At 36.9% G+C, this 16099-nt stretch overlaps 2 long non-coding RNA genes across 4 annotated transcripts in view; one reads left to right on the top strand and one right to left on the bottom strand.

Annotated features, from left to right (window-relative positions):
* Nucleotides 1-16099, bottom strand: part of LOC105374524 (uncharacterized) — a 507306-nt gene that overhangs the window by 149461 nt on the left and 341746 nt on the right. The window lies entirely within an intron of this gene.
* Nucleotides 1-16099, top strand: part of LOC105374523 (uncharacterized) — a 97876-nt gene that overhangs the window by 45032 nt on the left and 36745 nt on the right. The gene's annotated exons all lie outside the window — the stretch shown is intronic.

Here is a 16099-nt window from a genome sequence, read left to right as displayed (position 1 = left end):
CTAGTAGACTTGTATATCACGGGAAAGCATGTATTGTCCCTGATCCTTGAATGACTACAGGGAGAAAATCTTTTCTGCCTGTTGTCATATAGTATAAGCAAGAAATAAGCTTTCTTTAGACACTGAGATTTTGGATTATTTTGTTCTGGCAACATAACCTGACATAAACCTAACTGATACAGAATCATTTTTGATATTTTTTTGTGTATAGATAAAGTAGGAAAGCCCTACCCTAGTTTCCTGTAGATAAATTGGGCAAAAACTGCATTCTGCACATAGAAGTTTGTGAGCATTGCAGACTCCAAAGGAATATCATTTTTGTGCCCTTAGATACTACCAAGAAGGATGATAGTGATGTTAGACAAAGTCATGCACAAGTCTCTGATGTGTCAGGAGGCTTGTTCATGACTAAAATGAACATGCATGGAGATAATGGAGGGTGTATACAATTAGCATTAATATAAATTCTAAAAATAACTACTCAATAGTATGATTCAAATTTTGAAAGTGCACATGTGGCATGTTATACCACAGAGCTTTATAAATAATTATTATCCCAATAAACTAGACTTCATCACAAGGGATTTTCACAGTATTTTTTGGTTCTCACATTCATTCACACCATGTATATTTATCACATACTTGCTATGTTTAAAGCACTGGCACATCTATAATTTAAGTATTTAGACCTTTCTCCAGCTCTATAGAAGAATAAATTTCAATAAGAAAGCAAGTAGAGGAGATTGCCTTGTGCAGCATTTCATTTCTACATCCCGAAACTTTAGTCCATGAGAAGCTCTGCAAATTGCTGGGTCTTATGATCCTAAAACTCCTAACAGAAGGGCTGGCATATAGAAGGTGCTAGATCAGACCTGATGTAGTGGCTTACTCTTGTAATCCCAGCACTTCGGGAGGCTGAGGCAGGCAAATCATGAGGTCCAGAGATCAAGACCAGCCTTGCTAACACAGTGAAACCCCCTTCTCTACTAAAAATAGAAAAAATTAGCAGGGCATGGTGGTGTGCACCAATAGTCCCAGATACTCGGGAGGCTGAGGCAGGAGAATGGTGTGAACCTGGGAGGTGGAGGTTGCAGTGAGCCAAGATCATGCCACTGCTCCAGCCTGGGCAACAGAGTGAGACTCCATCTATCCAAAAAAAAAAAAAAAAAAAAAACCAGAAGGTGCTAGATCAATAATTCTTAATGACAATAATAACCCTGGGGCTTTCATGGTCCTGATGTACCACCCAATAGTAAACTAGGTGCAGGATCATTTTTGTGCAAAGCTGATGTTGTGGACTGAACTTTACCTTCCAAAACTCATATGTTGAAATTCTAACCAGCCGTATCTTAGCATTTGACTGTAGTTGGAGACAGGACCTTTGAAAAGGTAATTAAAATGAGGTCACTCAAGTGGGCCCTAATCCAATATGACTGGTGTTCTTGTAAGAAGAGGAGATTAGGAAGGAAATAAACTGTTGTTGTTCAAACAATCCAGTCTGTGGTGCCTTGTCATGGCAGCCCTTGGACACTAGTACAGTTGAATTCAAGAAAATAACTTCTTTTTTAGAGTCTAAGATCCACCAGAGTCCACAGAGGTTGGGATAGAATCAAATGGTATCAAAGGGTACCATAAAAATATTCACTGGGCTCTAAGCACAATCTCGTTACTAACAAGATATGCGTAATGAATAATCTATCCCTCTTTTTACTTAAAAATGTAATTTTTATGAATCTCAGTCTACATTAAGTGAGTCTCTCCATCCCATCCTGTTGTGGTGGAATAAGTTAATTTCAGCCCAGGGAGGGCTTCTGTATCCGTCTCTAAGATTATATCCAGTTCTCAGAGACTTAAAAGATATTTGATGAGGAGAAACTGTAGTATCACACATTAGGAAGATCATTTCTAAATGTGCTTATTTTCATCTGTCATGCAGATTGCTGCTATGTTGTACCTCCCTTTTGGCCTCAGGGTCTTTTGTGTCTGAATATTTTTAGCTAATTTGGGTCCATCTGGCATTCAGGAATCCCTCTGCTATTACTAGGTCATGCTGTTTCTTCAAAACTGTGTCTCTTCAGAACAGTGAGTCCCTTCAAGTTTTCTGCCACTCTTGAACCAAAAGATTCCTTCAATTACTGATTTTGCCCACTGCTACTATATATACTGCTACTACATACTTCTTGTTGAAAGTATGTGTGTTGAAAGCACAATATCCATTCTCTCCTTATTTTAGTTTAAATGAAAAAAAAAATTATTTCGTTTAAGGGTAGCAAGGTGCCTAATAAAAGACTACTTCTTTGTATCCTTTCAGCCAAATGTGGCAATGTGACTAAATCCTGGCCATTGAGATGTACACAGAAGTTATGAAGCAGGAATGTTGCAACGAGGCATGTTCTTTTGCCCTTCTGTTTTATCTCCTTCCTGCTTTTAAATAAGAATGAAATGGCTCACACAGCCATTTTAGAGCCTGAGAAACATGGAGACAACCTTGTTACCTGACAATTACAGAGTTATTGTAACTGGACTTTTTGAGCAAAAAATAAACTCATTTGTTTCAATTCACGCTATTGCCTTGAAAAAGGTGGAAGGGAAGCCAGTCCCTTGGGATTAAGCTGGAAAGATTATAGCATTTGATGAATGTTCCAGTTCTTTATTTTCTTGCAGAGAGGCTAAGAGCCAGAGCTTATCTCCTACTTGTCCTGCCCTACACCAAGGAGAGGGTCTGAGGCAGGTGCCTATACTCTTGGTCAGACTGCTCGCTTTGAGCCTGAGGATTTGACTGCTGAGCATTTGCAAGTTTAAAAGTCACCTCCATCAACTCCCAGAGTGAGGTGATTTAGGAGCCAGTCCCTCAGGCGAAGGCTGTAAAAGTTGGGGCACTTGTTGCATACAGAAACTACCTCCAGGAAGAATCTACAGATCTGGATTCATCTGAACCAAGCCAGGCAAGAAGGTGTGGCGAGTGCCCACTCTCCTTTCTTTTTGAACAAGCAGAAGTCTCACACTCTCCTAGCAGGGGGAGACTTCTGCTCTGGAGTTATCACTGGAACAAGCCAGGAAGGAAGGCAAAAGAAATGTCCACTTTCCCTATCAGGAATAGAGAGGTCTCTGCCTCCTTCCAATGTGAGATTGCAGCAGCTTATTTCTTTTCTTTTTTTTTTTTTTTTTTTGTTTTTTGAGGAGGAGTCTCGCTCTGTTGCCAGGCTGGAGTGCAGTGGGACGATCTCGACTCACTCCAACCTCTGCTTCCCAGGTTCAAGCAATTCTCCTGCCTCAGCCTCCTGAGTAGCTGGGACTACAGGTGCATACCACCATGCCCAGCTAATTTTTGTATTTTTAGTAGAGATGGGTTTTCATCATGTTGGCCAGGATGGGCTCAATCTCTTGACCTCATGATCCACCCACCTCAGCCTCCCAAAGTGCTGGGATTACAGGCGTGAGCCACTGTGCCCGGCCTGCAGCAGCTTATTTCTAGAGCAACCTGGGGAAGAGGGTGCAGGGATTGTGAGCCTCCATTATTTTGAAGTTTTGTTATAGACAGCTGAATTAAACACTAATTGATCTCTGTTATCTCAGGAGTGAGCCCTTAGCCTAACCACAAAGTGATTTCTACTCTGGGATCTTGTCCTTTCTTGGGAATGGGGCTCAAATCTACTCTTGTCTCAGATTTGCTCTAAGCATACCTTGATATTCTCACTTTCTCTTTTTAGGGCTTAGCCCCTGAATGATTGAGTAGTTATTGAACCTCCTCTCAAGGAACTGATAGCATCAAATTCCTTATTCCTCCTTCTCCGATTCGCCCTCTTCTCTACAGTGAATGTTATTATTTCTATTCAGCATAACATGATGCTTAAGAGAACAAGGGTCTGAAACCAGATTGCCCAAGGCTGAACGCTGGATCTACTTATGCGTGACCTTGGAAAATGTACTCAGGCTCTCTGTGCCTTAGTTTTCCCATTTGTAAAATAGAGTACAACAACTCAAAAGGAAATTGTGAAAAGGGTCGAAGACATTGTAAGTGCCCAACATATTTTAGCTGTTATCGCTATTATTGTCATCATTTTCAGTGATGAAATTTCTTATATATACATCATCATGTGGGCTACCAAATTTATTGTCCTTATTAAAGACCTTCCCATTTCTTAGAGGAACTAATCATTTGAAACAGACAAGGAAACGACTCCTTATTTCCTGTTGTACACTCTGTCTGGACAGTAATTTACATGGAATGGCTTAATTGACTGACTATATGAAAAACCATAATGTATACTCAAACAAAGAAAAATGTGTAATATTTAAAAATATTATGCATTTCATACTAATATTTTCCTCTAAAACAATTTTTTTTTGAGAGGGAGTTTTGCTCTTGTTGCCCAGGCTGGAGTGTAATGGTGTGATCTCCACTCACTGCAACCTCCGCCTCCCAGGTTCAAGCAATTCTCCTGCCTCAGCCTCCTGAGTAGCTGGGATTACAGGCACCCACCACCATGCCCAGCTAATTTTGAATTTTTAGTAGATACAAGGTTTCACCATGTTGGCCAGGCTGGTCTCGAACTCCTGACCTCATGATCCATCTGCCTCAGCCTTCCAAAGTGCTGGAATTACAGGTGTGAGCCAATGCGCCCAGCCTAAAACATTTGATTTAGCAAATCTATAGATACAGCCATCGCATGAATCCATAATGTGGTACTGTGAAAGAGCCTAGGATTTGGTGAGCGATCCCAGTCTTCTGGTTCATGTAAGACCAAAAGGAAATAAGAATTCTAGTGCTAAAATGGAAAGTCTTGGGAAAACTAGGACTACTTGATCACCCCAGATTTATTTAAGATAGATTTAAAATTAAAGCCTGCTATCTTCTTCATTTCCTAAAGTGGAAGTTAGTGAATTATCCTCTTAATGCTACTGTATCCCAAAGTTAATGTGCTTGACCTTTGGGTCCTCAGTGTATTCATCTGGAAAATAGAAATAATATTACAAGGTGCCTGTTGTAAGGTACTTGCAAATAGAAACAATGTTTATTAATAATCATTTTTTTCTCCACTCCATATGATACTTGAAGACTAAATTTCTTCAGTAATAAACTCAGGGAATTCAGCGCAGAACTCCCCATCTAGCCGTCCTCAGTCATGTATGACTTGAATAAAACTTTTAACAAAAACAAATGGCATACTGCACCTTCAGCAGTGATATGCAGAAACCTCCCATAAAAGACCCTATTTTAAAACCAGTGAAAAGAAACTCCATCACTCTAGTTGAGTGAACATAGTCATCAGCAACTGAAAATGGAAATTAGTTAGCAGAGGGTCCCTGGAAACCTGTGGAGAAATGACTTAATAATCATGGTGACTGAGACAGAGCTTTCCTTTTTTACCACAGCAAATAAAAAGAAATGTGAAAAATACATTTCCTTGGGCTTTTAGAAATAGCTTACTTAAAACTAACTTATTTATAATAGATACTTACTATTAAAAAGTGACTAGGGAAAAAATAATCTGAATTCAGAAGAAGAAGACATTGAACCACATCTTATAGATGTCAGTACGTCTATTTTAATGAGCATAGATACTGGGTTATCCATTGTGGTCATGAGAAGAAACTTCCCTCTTAATCAACTCTTCTGCAGACTGAGAGAAAATACTTTCTTTACCTGCCACCAATTTTCCTAAGAAAGAGAGTTTGTGGCATCGTTCATTCCTCTTTGAAATTTCCAATTATTTCATCTACTATTAAAACCCCAAATGGGAGGAAATTAACTTTGAAGGATATACAGTAGCCTCTTTTCTCACTTTGAGATCTTGCCTTGCAGATCTTTCTCTGCAAATTGAACTATGCAGCTAGAGTGTATTTGAATAGAGACATGCCAACTCATCTTAGAAAAATAAAGTGGGTCTGTGGTAAGACCAAACTGTAAACATGTCAATTGCTTTAGGTAAAAACAAAACAAAACAAACAAAGCTAAAGAAATAAGGAGTTCACCAGAAGAATAATGGCACTATAGCAAAGAAAAAAAGTCAGAGAGTTAATCTTTGATAATGCCAATTTAAGAGCCAAAAAAATCAGAGCACTTGGTTTGGCCAATGTAAATACTTTTCTTGTCAAAGCCTTATGCAATTAAACATTGACCTTCTTATAATGGTGGAATCCAGCTTCCAGCAGAAATATTTTCATCATGTTAAGAAATATCACATTGACTTCATCTATCACTTGGAACTTCTTTTAAAAATGTTTTAGCCTGTTGTGTTAGTCTACAAGGACCCTTATAACAGAATACCATACACCAGTGGCTTAAACAACAGAAATTAATTTTCTCACAGTTCTGGAGGCTGAAAGCCCACCTCAAGATGTTGGCGGAGTCGGTTTCTGGTGATGCCTCTATTTTTGGCTTGCTATGTCCTCACATAGTACTTCCTCTGTGTGACCACATTGCAGGTGTATCTTTCCTTTTCTTATAAGAATGGCCCATTTAAACTTAATTACCTCCTTACAGGCCCTATCTTCAAATATAGTCCCACTGAATTTTAGGAGGACACAATTTAGCCCATAACCCTCATGGTGATGGTGTGAGTTGGCCAAAACATACCAAATAAGGTCCATTCATGTCTATGATACCAAATAGCTGAGAGGATTTCTAAGAAATTAATATTAGACAAATGGTTCCAAATATGAGTTAATATCTTGAAAGTACCATCCATGGACTATGTTGGCCAGAAACAACTAGGAAGTTGACTAAAAATTTAAATTTCTGGACCCCATCCAAGATCTGCTGAATCAGAATCTCTGAGACTGAGGAAAGAGAATCATCATTTTCAATTACTTTCACAGGCATTTTTATGTGTTTTAAAATGTGGAAAAATGACTTAGGCAGTTTATCCTAGATTAAGTTACACCTGAGTTTCAAGATATTAATGGAAAAACCCTTGCCTAGGACCCAAATTAGAAGCATGAGTCAAAGACTGTGGCCTGAGAGAGGCCTAGATTTATATAAGGAGATTCTAGAATGCACCTTCTGAAAAAGCTCCTTATCATAGTGCACCATATCCCTTCTAATCTTATAATCTGGCCCTCGTTACCTGTGAGGTCTAGGAAGCTTAAAAGGGCACCTTCTTTTCATGTTTTTAAGGGGGAAATCTAAAGCCTATAAAAACAAAGTCTAATTATTCTTCCTATAAAGATAACATATCCTGATGGTCATTCCTCAAAGCACAATATCTTCAGAATTCACTTGTGAAACCTTGGATAAACATCAGAAACTTACAGAAAAAATGATGGCCTTTAGGGACCTAATTGTTTTCATGTAAAAATAAGATAGATTTAAGTCCACAATAGATTCAAAGAGTACACAGTGCCATGAGACAGAACACAAATATATAACAAAAATATTTTCCTGTTTTCTTTATAAACAAAATTATTGGATTTAAACATTTTAAGACAAGTGAAAGCAAAAAGAAAAAACACAGGAGTGAAACTTTAAAGGCCATTTCATCACGAAGGGCTCATTTATCATTTGACATTCATGTACCATGTATGTGGTTTCAAATGGTGGTTCTAAATTGTTATCTGAGTATCCCTGGAGTTCAAGATCTATGCTGGGGGATCTAAGAGGTCAAATAATACAAAAATGTTATTTGCCATTTTCACTCTCTTTCTCTGAGAGCCGTACCGTGGACTTTTTCAGAGACATGAATTGTCATAACATCATAGGATAATGGTTAATGGGTCATATATGATCTAATGGCTATTGGAATGTATGGCTATGCATCCTTGCATTCCAAATTTTTCAGATTTAATTGCCAACATGTTAAATATTAATAAATACATCCCCCTTTAACAACAACAACAAAAAAATAAAGATAACATATCCTGGCACCCTTCCAACATCCCTCTGTTGTTAAATTATAAGAATAAAAGAAATGGAGGGCGAGTCCTATTACAGACATTTAGGACCCCTGTGCAGTACGTGGACAAAGTGTTCACCCTTTGTCTGTCCAGTAAGAGATGACCATACATCGTCTAGTAAATTTATACAGCTATGCAATCACCCAGACATACCCATGGTAATCTTTCCCCAAACATTTGCTGAGTACGAATGGAGGCCTACATACCACATATCTAAAGGTATAAAAGTTATAAATTAAACTACAAGCCATTAAATAAAATCTACTTTACCAAGTGGCATTATAAAAATGTTTAATAATTGGGTCTTTGAAGGAGAAACAGGGGAGACACTGATTGGCAGTATTTGCTGATTTCTGTGGTACCAATATTCTCTCCATGGCTAATTTCAAGCAACTGACATGATTCCACTAAACATGAAGTTTAGTGGAACTGGCTTTAGCACATCATTGAATTCATCTATGAACTGGCTTTAGCACATCACTGAATTCATCTTTTTTCCTTAATGACCTATAAGGCTAGGTTCAAATTTACAGGGCTTGGATTCCTGAAAATTTTACACTATAACTGACCTTCTTCCACGACTGGCTTTCAGTAACATCCTTCAGCCCCAGATAGAGTCTGTCCCTTCTTTTCCCATCCCTAACTCCATCGTATACAGCTAAGCATGTTTATGCGTTGACAACCCAGAAACACTGCTAAGCTTTATACACACTGATGCTATCCAGCCCACTCTCTTGAAAATAGCTGTCTTTTGGATACCTGTTAATAAAGGCAAACAGGGAACTTGAAACAAGGGCTTGGGACCACTGGGCCGAAGATTCTAGGATTTGAGGTATCTGTGCATTTTTGAGGTGAGGCTAGAGATACCTAGGTCCTGTGTGGTCATGCCCAGTAGGCCCTGTGTATGCCTTACTCTGTGAAGGATAATATAGCCAAAGGCAGCCAGAGACGAGGTCCCTAAAGTTTGGAGCTAAGGGCAGGGCCCCTCTTGCCTGGGTCTGAGACTGAGACTAAGTCTCTAAGAGCAACACGTGTTAGTTACTATTCCATTAATCTTTAGGTAGTAAATGGCCTCTGCAATATGTATTCATAAACCCGAGCATTTGATCCCCAGTTAGAAGATTTTCTGGTCCAGTTTTAAGCATAGCAAGCAACGTCAGGCAAAGTGGAGCTCCTCGGTGTGGGGCTGAAGAAACCGTAAGAAGAAACTGAGATCCTTTAATGTTTCAAAGGAACCTTGCCTAGCCTTGGGAACAATTTGTAACACCCTGCCTAGCTTTGTCCCACCCATCTTTTAGTCTGCACTTTGCTTCGGGTGCCCTTGGGTGTCTGTATTTCCTGCAGGCTCCACGCTGTTTCTCAGCACTCTGTCTTTAGTTGGGTTACTGTTCCATTTGAGTGTCCCCCTTCCTTTTCTGCCCCTGTTCCATGCCATACCTCTGCTTGGTGGTGTTCGCTCATCTTTTCAGACATCAGGTACAATGCATCCCAGAAGAGCTTCTCAATTTTCATACCAATTCCCTTAACCCAGAGAACATGAACCCTAGTTCTAAAGATCTGGGAGGTATGCCCACAAAGGGGAAATTATTATTATTATTGTTATTTTAGATATCCTATTTTATCTTTTTAAAAATCAAAATTACACTGTCTTCGGAAAAAGGTAGAGGGAAGAAAGAGAAATAATATATTAATGAGTTAATGGAAGCCCTCTAAGAAAATAACTTGTTATACTATGGACAATAGTTACCGTAGGACTTTTGTAAAGTGTCACGGATATCTTTATCTTAAAACTTAAATAACTAAAATTTCTTATTCTGTATTTATGTCGATATGAAGTAAAGCTTTGAACAACATAACCATTTGTGGCCAGGAGGCTTTTAGTGTAATTTGACAATGTTTGAGAGAAATTTCAGTTATGGTGTAGGCTGCTGAACAAAAATCCAACTGTCCAAATATTACAATTTTTGTGCCTCTATTTTATGAAATATTCATTGGTTTAAAAAAGTTGTACTGAAGAAATTAAAATTTAGTGTTCAATTGCTATCATTAAAAATAATCAGAGTCTTATGGGGGCATTGTTGATACTTTTGCTTTTAAAGCATGATCTTCAGGGCATTTATGTAAGCTGACAAATTAATGACTTAGCAGAGATGTGGACAGTTAGGAAACTTAAATTGACAAAAGACTGACACCTTAATATCCACAAGTCTGCACAAATAATTCTAGGGATGTCATGAGTAGTAAATGTCTTAGTTTAAGTTCTGAATATCTATTTCTCCCCAATGACAATATATTTATTGTTGATATTTTAAAATGATATACATTAATAGTTTTGTGCATTTCCTTCCACATTTCTCTCTGTACATACCCCATATCAGTATATATTCAAATTTCTTTTTAACAGTATACATAATGTTATTTAATCTACTTTTTTACCTAACAACATGCCATTGACATATTTTCTTGTCAGTAAATATAAATTCACGCCATCTCTAATAATATTATAATATTTTACTTATAACTTATCTAAATAGCTTCCCATTGATGAGTATCTCAAAATTCCCCATTTGATTTCTTAGGTTTTTTTTTTTTTAACCTTGAAAGTGATGAATATTTTTGTACATACATATATCTTTCTGTACTAGCCCAATTTAGATAAATTTCAAAAGTTGAACCCCTATGTATCACAGGTAAAATTTGACTTAACATTTAAGATTTTAAGAATTGCTTTAGATAGTGTAAAATTCCTGCATTCTTCCTTTAGAATATCTCCTGCATATGCCTGCTTGTCACCAACGCCACCAATTTTGGCCTAGGCCAAGTCTCTGTTATCTCTTTCCTGGATCCTTGCAATTGATGCTTTAACCTACATTTGCCCCTATGCAGTCAATTCACAACATGGAAGCAAGAGTGATCTTTCAAAATTCTGAGCCAGAGCATGTAATTTCTCTGGGTAAAATTCTCCAATGGCCTCTTCTTTCACCCAGTGTAACCCCATCTTGTTACTCAGATTTGCAAAACCCTGAAAAATCCAGCCTATGTCTAAATCCTTGAGTTCCTCTTACACCATTCTCTCCTTTCTGAATTTTTGTGCACACTGGCGTTTGTTTATTTTTTTGAGGGAGCCAAAGCTCATCCTTCCTATTAGTCTTTGCATTTGCTCAAAGTACATTTTTCGGCCTTAAATGCTTTTATCCTTCCTTTAAAGATGGTTCCATCTACTTGGTAATTTAGATCTCAATATTAACTTTCTAGAGGTGGCTTCTTTGACCATTCATAAAAACAGCCATTTGTTCATTTTCTAACATGTCATGTATTCTGTGTCTCAGCTGAACACATCGCTGTGTGAAGTTTTTCTTGTTCATTTATTTGTTTAAGGCCTCACTCTTCCCCACTAGACCATCACTTCCGCAAGAATGAGGACATTGCCTGCCATACCTTACACTGTCTGAGAGGTAGCAGAGGCTCAGTACTTTTTAACTGAATTCATGTTGCTTCTGGAGTGTTTCCTCTTAGAATTAAAAGACTCATTGAGGTAAAGGAGTAAAGGTTGGAAAGTAAGGGTTCAATAAAAACAAATCAGACCTATATTAGAATAATATGGTCTTAGTGAAAACATTATCCAGAAAGAAATAATGTTAAGAAGCTAAGGATCTAATAATTATTTTACTTTGTGACCATTTGCCTTTACAATTAAAGCTGATGTTATTAACTCTTCTTCAAACGACAGGCCTTTAAGGACCACGAATAAGAAGCTGTGGTCCAAACTTTGGCTGGCACCCCAGTGACAACATCATCTGTTTTATGGTGGTTTCACGCAGATCTTGTGCAACTTCGAATTTAAAATACTGCATGTCAGAGTTATTCCATTAGGTTCAAAAGAATTGGGCAGCTTTATGTGCTCTAGTCATATTCTTGGTTCAGAGAAAGACCTTGGAGGCCTCTCTCAGAAATATCGAGGTTCTGCTCATTCAAAAGATTAAGAAGATTGTAAGAAAATTTTTATAATCTGTATTTATATTTTCCTTTTCTAAAATAGTGTGTGCTCTTTCAAGACCTAGATATGTTTGTACTTCTGGAATCAGAAAAATAAGTTAATTGATGTAAGTACATGGCAATTATTTATTCTTCATTATTCACATTCTAATGATCAACCAGGCATGTTGTTTTCTATATTGTGTTATTATCAATCATTACGCTATCATACTATCAATAAAATTGTCCAAGAACTTCCCTGCAGATGGATCTAGAGAGCTTGGTTACTAGTGTGTGACTAACTTCCTTCTTCTTAGTCCCCACATTGATGATTTAAAGGGCATAAAGAAATCAGTCCAGTTTTGTGTCTCGATAGGCAGTTCCTCTTTGGTTTATCGAAAGCCCTGAGCTTGGGCAAGCTCCAACCCTGGGAGTTGCTCATCTTAGTGTCTATTAAGCTATGAGATGTGCATCCTTTTCTCACTTTCCCATTGAAGACATCCATTTATGCTTATTTCCATCTTTCAATTGATGGATTGATATAGGAGCCTAAACACATCATTCGTTTTTCCATCCATTCCCATTGTAGCAGTTGTGGATTCACTTCTGGTGCCAGATTGAATCCAGGGCGATTTTAAAGTCTAATAAAGCAAGGAAAATCTCTTCTCCCAGTTGGAATTTTTTAAAACATGTTTCTTAATACGTAGCAATCGGGGGAGGGATGAAGTCTGTGGCTCATTTTCAAGGGAGGAATCCAATTTGGATTTTATGGATGTTGCTGTCACTGGTCCGACATTTCTTTATTCTTTCACCAGGGAGGCAGAGTCAGGGTTTACTGCTGTTGCTGCTAATGTAGATCTCTCTGGCTGCTCGAGTTGAGAGCATTTTCGTTTTTTATGTGTTGGAGTAATTAGCCCTCCTGACCATATCTCAGGAAGTGTCTGGATTGGAGGATTAGGATAAACATCTTCAGGCAGGCTTTCTGAGTGTGATCAATGTGGGGCGTTAACATCTCATTTGATGTGTTTTTACCAAGGCTATGGGGTTTCATAGCTCTCCCTTTGAAGGGGCACTCTTTCATTTCTGGAATCACCAGGGTTGAGCTTAAATGACTGGGACAAAGTTAAAGATACTTTTTCTTCAAACAATTTATATGTTCAAGGCTGAGCTTCATCTCGGCTTCTGTCTGAGGCCATCTCTAAATACAGGTGGGTGTGAACTCTGTTTCCTTTTTGTTTCCATAGAATTAAATTCTTAAACACATCAAAACGCACCATTTATGCAATACACATTTTTTGCATTTCTTTTTTAATAGACTTCATTTTTTAGTGATTTTAGGTTCACAGCAAAATTGAGCAAATGGTATAGAGATTTCCCATATATCCCCAGCACCCAAACATGCAAAGCCTTCCACACCGTCAACATTCTCCAACAGAGTGGTGCCTTTGTTGCAATGGATGAACCTTCATCAACACATCATAACCACCCAAAGTACTCAATTTACATTAGGTTTCACTCCTGGTGTGTACATTCTATAGGTTTGCATACAAGTACGATGAAATGTATTCACCATTATAGTATCACATAGAGTAGTTTCACTGTTCTACAAATTCTCTGTGTTCTGCCTATTTATCCCTCCCTTCCCTTAATCTGGCACTCTTTTTTTTGTTTTAATTTTCTTCATAGTTTTGCCTTTCACAGAATGACATACACTTGGAATCATACAATATGTAGACTTTGAAATTAGTTTCTTTTACTTAGTAATATGTATTTAAGTTTCTTCTATGTCTTTCCATGGCTTGATAGCTCATTTCTTTTTAACAATAAGTAATATTCCATTGTCTGGATATACCAAAATTATCTATTTATCCACTGAAAAGTAACTGAGTTAACTGAGTTGCATCCAAGTTTTGGCAATTATGAATAAAGCTGCTATAGACATCTGTGTGCAGAGTTTTATGTGGACAATAATTTTCAACTCCCATATGTCCAAGAAGGACAATTGCTGGATTCTATGGTAAGAGTGTGTTTAGTTTTATTAAGAAACTGTCAATATGTCTTCGAAAGTGGCCATACCATTTTGCATTCCTACCAACAATGAATGAAAACTCGTGTTCCTCCACATCATCGTTCGCCTTTGGTGTTATAATTATTCTGAATTTTGGTCATTTTGATAGGTATGTAGTTGTATTTCATTGTTGCTTTAACATTTCCTTAATGGCATATAATGGAGAACATCATTCCAAGTGCTTATTTGTCATCTGTGTATCTTCTTTGATAAGATGTTTGTTAAGTTCTTTGTCTCCTTTTATAGTTAGGGTATTTGTTTTTTTTGTTTGTTTGTTTGGTTTTTTTTTTTGAGTTTTGAGAGTTCTTCGTATACGTTGGATAATAATCTTTTATCAGATATGTCTTTTGCAAATGATTTCTCCCAGCCTGTAACTTATCCTTTTATTCTCTTGAGAGTGTCTTTTGCAGAGTAGAAGTTTTTAAGTCCAGCTTATCAATTATTTCTTTCATAGATGGTGACTTTGGTGTTGTATCTAAAACATTATTATGAAACCATATGTTACCTAGATTTAACCTTTTGTTATCTTCTAGGAGTTTTATAGTTTTGTGTTTTACATTTATGTCTCTCATGCATTTTGAATTTTTTTGTAATGAGTAAATATCTGGAATTTATTTTTTTTTTTTTTTTGCATGTGAATGTCCGGTTATTTCAGCACAATTTGTAAAAAGATTTTTATCTTCATTGTATTCCCTTGCTCCTGTGTTCAAAGATCAGTAAACTGTATTTACATGGATTTCTTTCTGTGCTCCCTATTCTGGTTCAGTAATCTATTTGTCTCTTTTTTTCATTTTTAAATGTTTTATTTGTCTTCTATTTTGCAGATAACACTGTCTAAATTATTGCAGCTTTGTATTAAGTGTTAAAGTCAGGCATCAGTCCTCCAACTTTCTTCTTCTCCTTCAATATTGTGTTGGCTATTCTGGTTCTTTTGCTTTTTCATATACATTTTAGAATAATTTTGTCAATATCTACAAAATAGCTTGAAGAGACTTTGACTAACCTATAAATCAATTCAGGAAGAACTGACATTTTGACAATATTGAGTTTTTGTGTCCATGAGTATGAATAGCTCTCCATATATTTAGCTCTTTGCTGTTTTGTTGTTTTGTTTTGTTTTCTACGAGAGAGTTGGTTTTCCTCATATGTGTTATATTTACGCTTAAGTATTTCAAAGTTTTGAGTGTTAGCGTATATGTTGTTGTGTTTTTAATTTCAATTTCTGCCTGTTCATTGTTATTATATAGGAAATTAATTGGCTTTTGTATATAAACCTTATATCCTGCAGTATTGCTATAGTTGCCTATTTGTTCCAGTAGTTTTTTGTTAAAATTTTTGAATTTTCTACATAGACAATCATGTCAACTGCTAACATAGACTGTTTTATTTCTTCCCTCCCAATTTGTGTACATTTTATTTCCTTTTTCTGTCTTATTGCATTTTCTAGGACTGCTAGTGTTGAAAAGCAGTGGCAATAGGGAAGATACTTGCCTCATTCCTGATGTTAGTGGAACACATGCTGTTTAATCTCTAGTATTTTGGAATTTTCCAGCTATCTTTTTTTTTTTCGATTTCTAGTTTAATTCCATTTTGAACTGAGAGTAGGCATGCTAAAATGTATATTCTTTAGACTTTTTCTAGGTATGTTTTATGGCCCAGAATGTGGTCTGTATTGGTAAATATTCCATGTGAGCTTGAGACAAACATGTATTCTGTTAATGTTTGATGAAGTAGTTTATATTCACTTTATTGACGGAGTTGTAGAATTCAGCTGCATCCTTGCTGATTTTCTGCCTGGTGGATCTATCTATTTCTGATAGAGGAGTGTTGAAATCTATAACTCTATTAGATTCCTCCTTGAGTTGTATCAGTTTTTTCCTCACGTATTTTGACTGTTTATAAATATATACATATTAAGAATTTTTATGTCTTCTTGGAGAACTGACCTGTTTATCATTATATAATACCTCTTTGTCCATGATGACTTTTCTTGCTATGAAGTCTGCTCTGTCTGAAATTAGTATAGCTAGTCTTTTTCTTTTATTAGTGTTAGCATGATATATTGTTCTACATCAATTTATTTTTAATCTATATTTGTTTTCATATTTAAAGTGAGTTTGCTATAGACAATATGTAGTTGAGTCTTGTTTTTTGATCCAA

Source organism: Homo sapiens, chromosome 4 (assembly GCF_000001405.40).
Source record: "Homo sapiens chromosome 4, GRCh38.p14 Primary Assembly".
Classification (NCBI taxonomy): Eukaryota; Metazoa; Chordata; class Mammalia; order Primates; family Hominidae; genus Homo; species Homo sapiens.
This window is presented reverse-complemented; position numbering and strand designations above follow the sequence as displayed.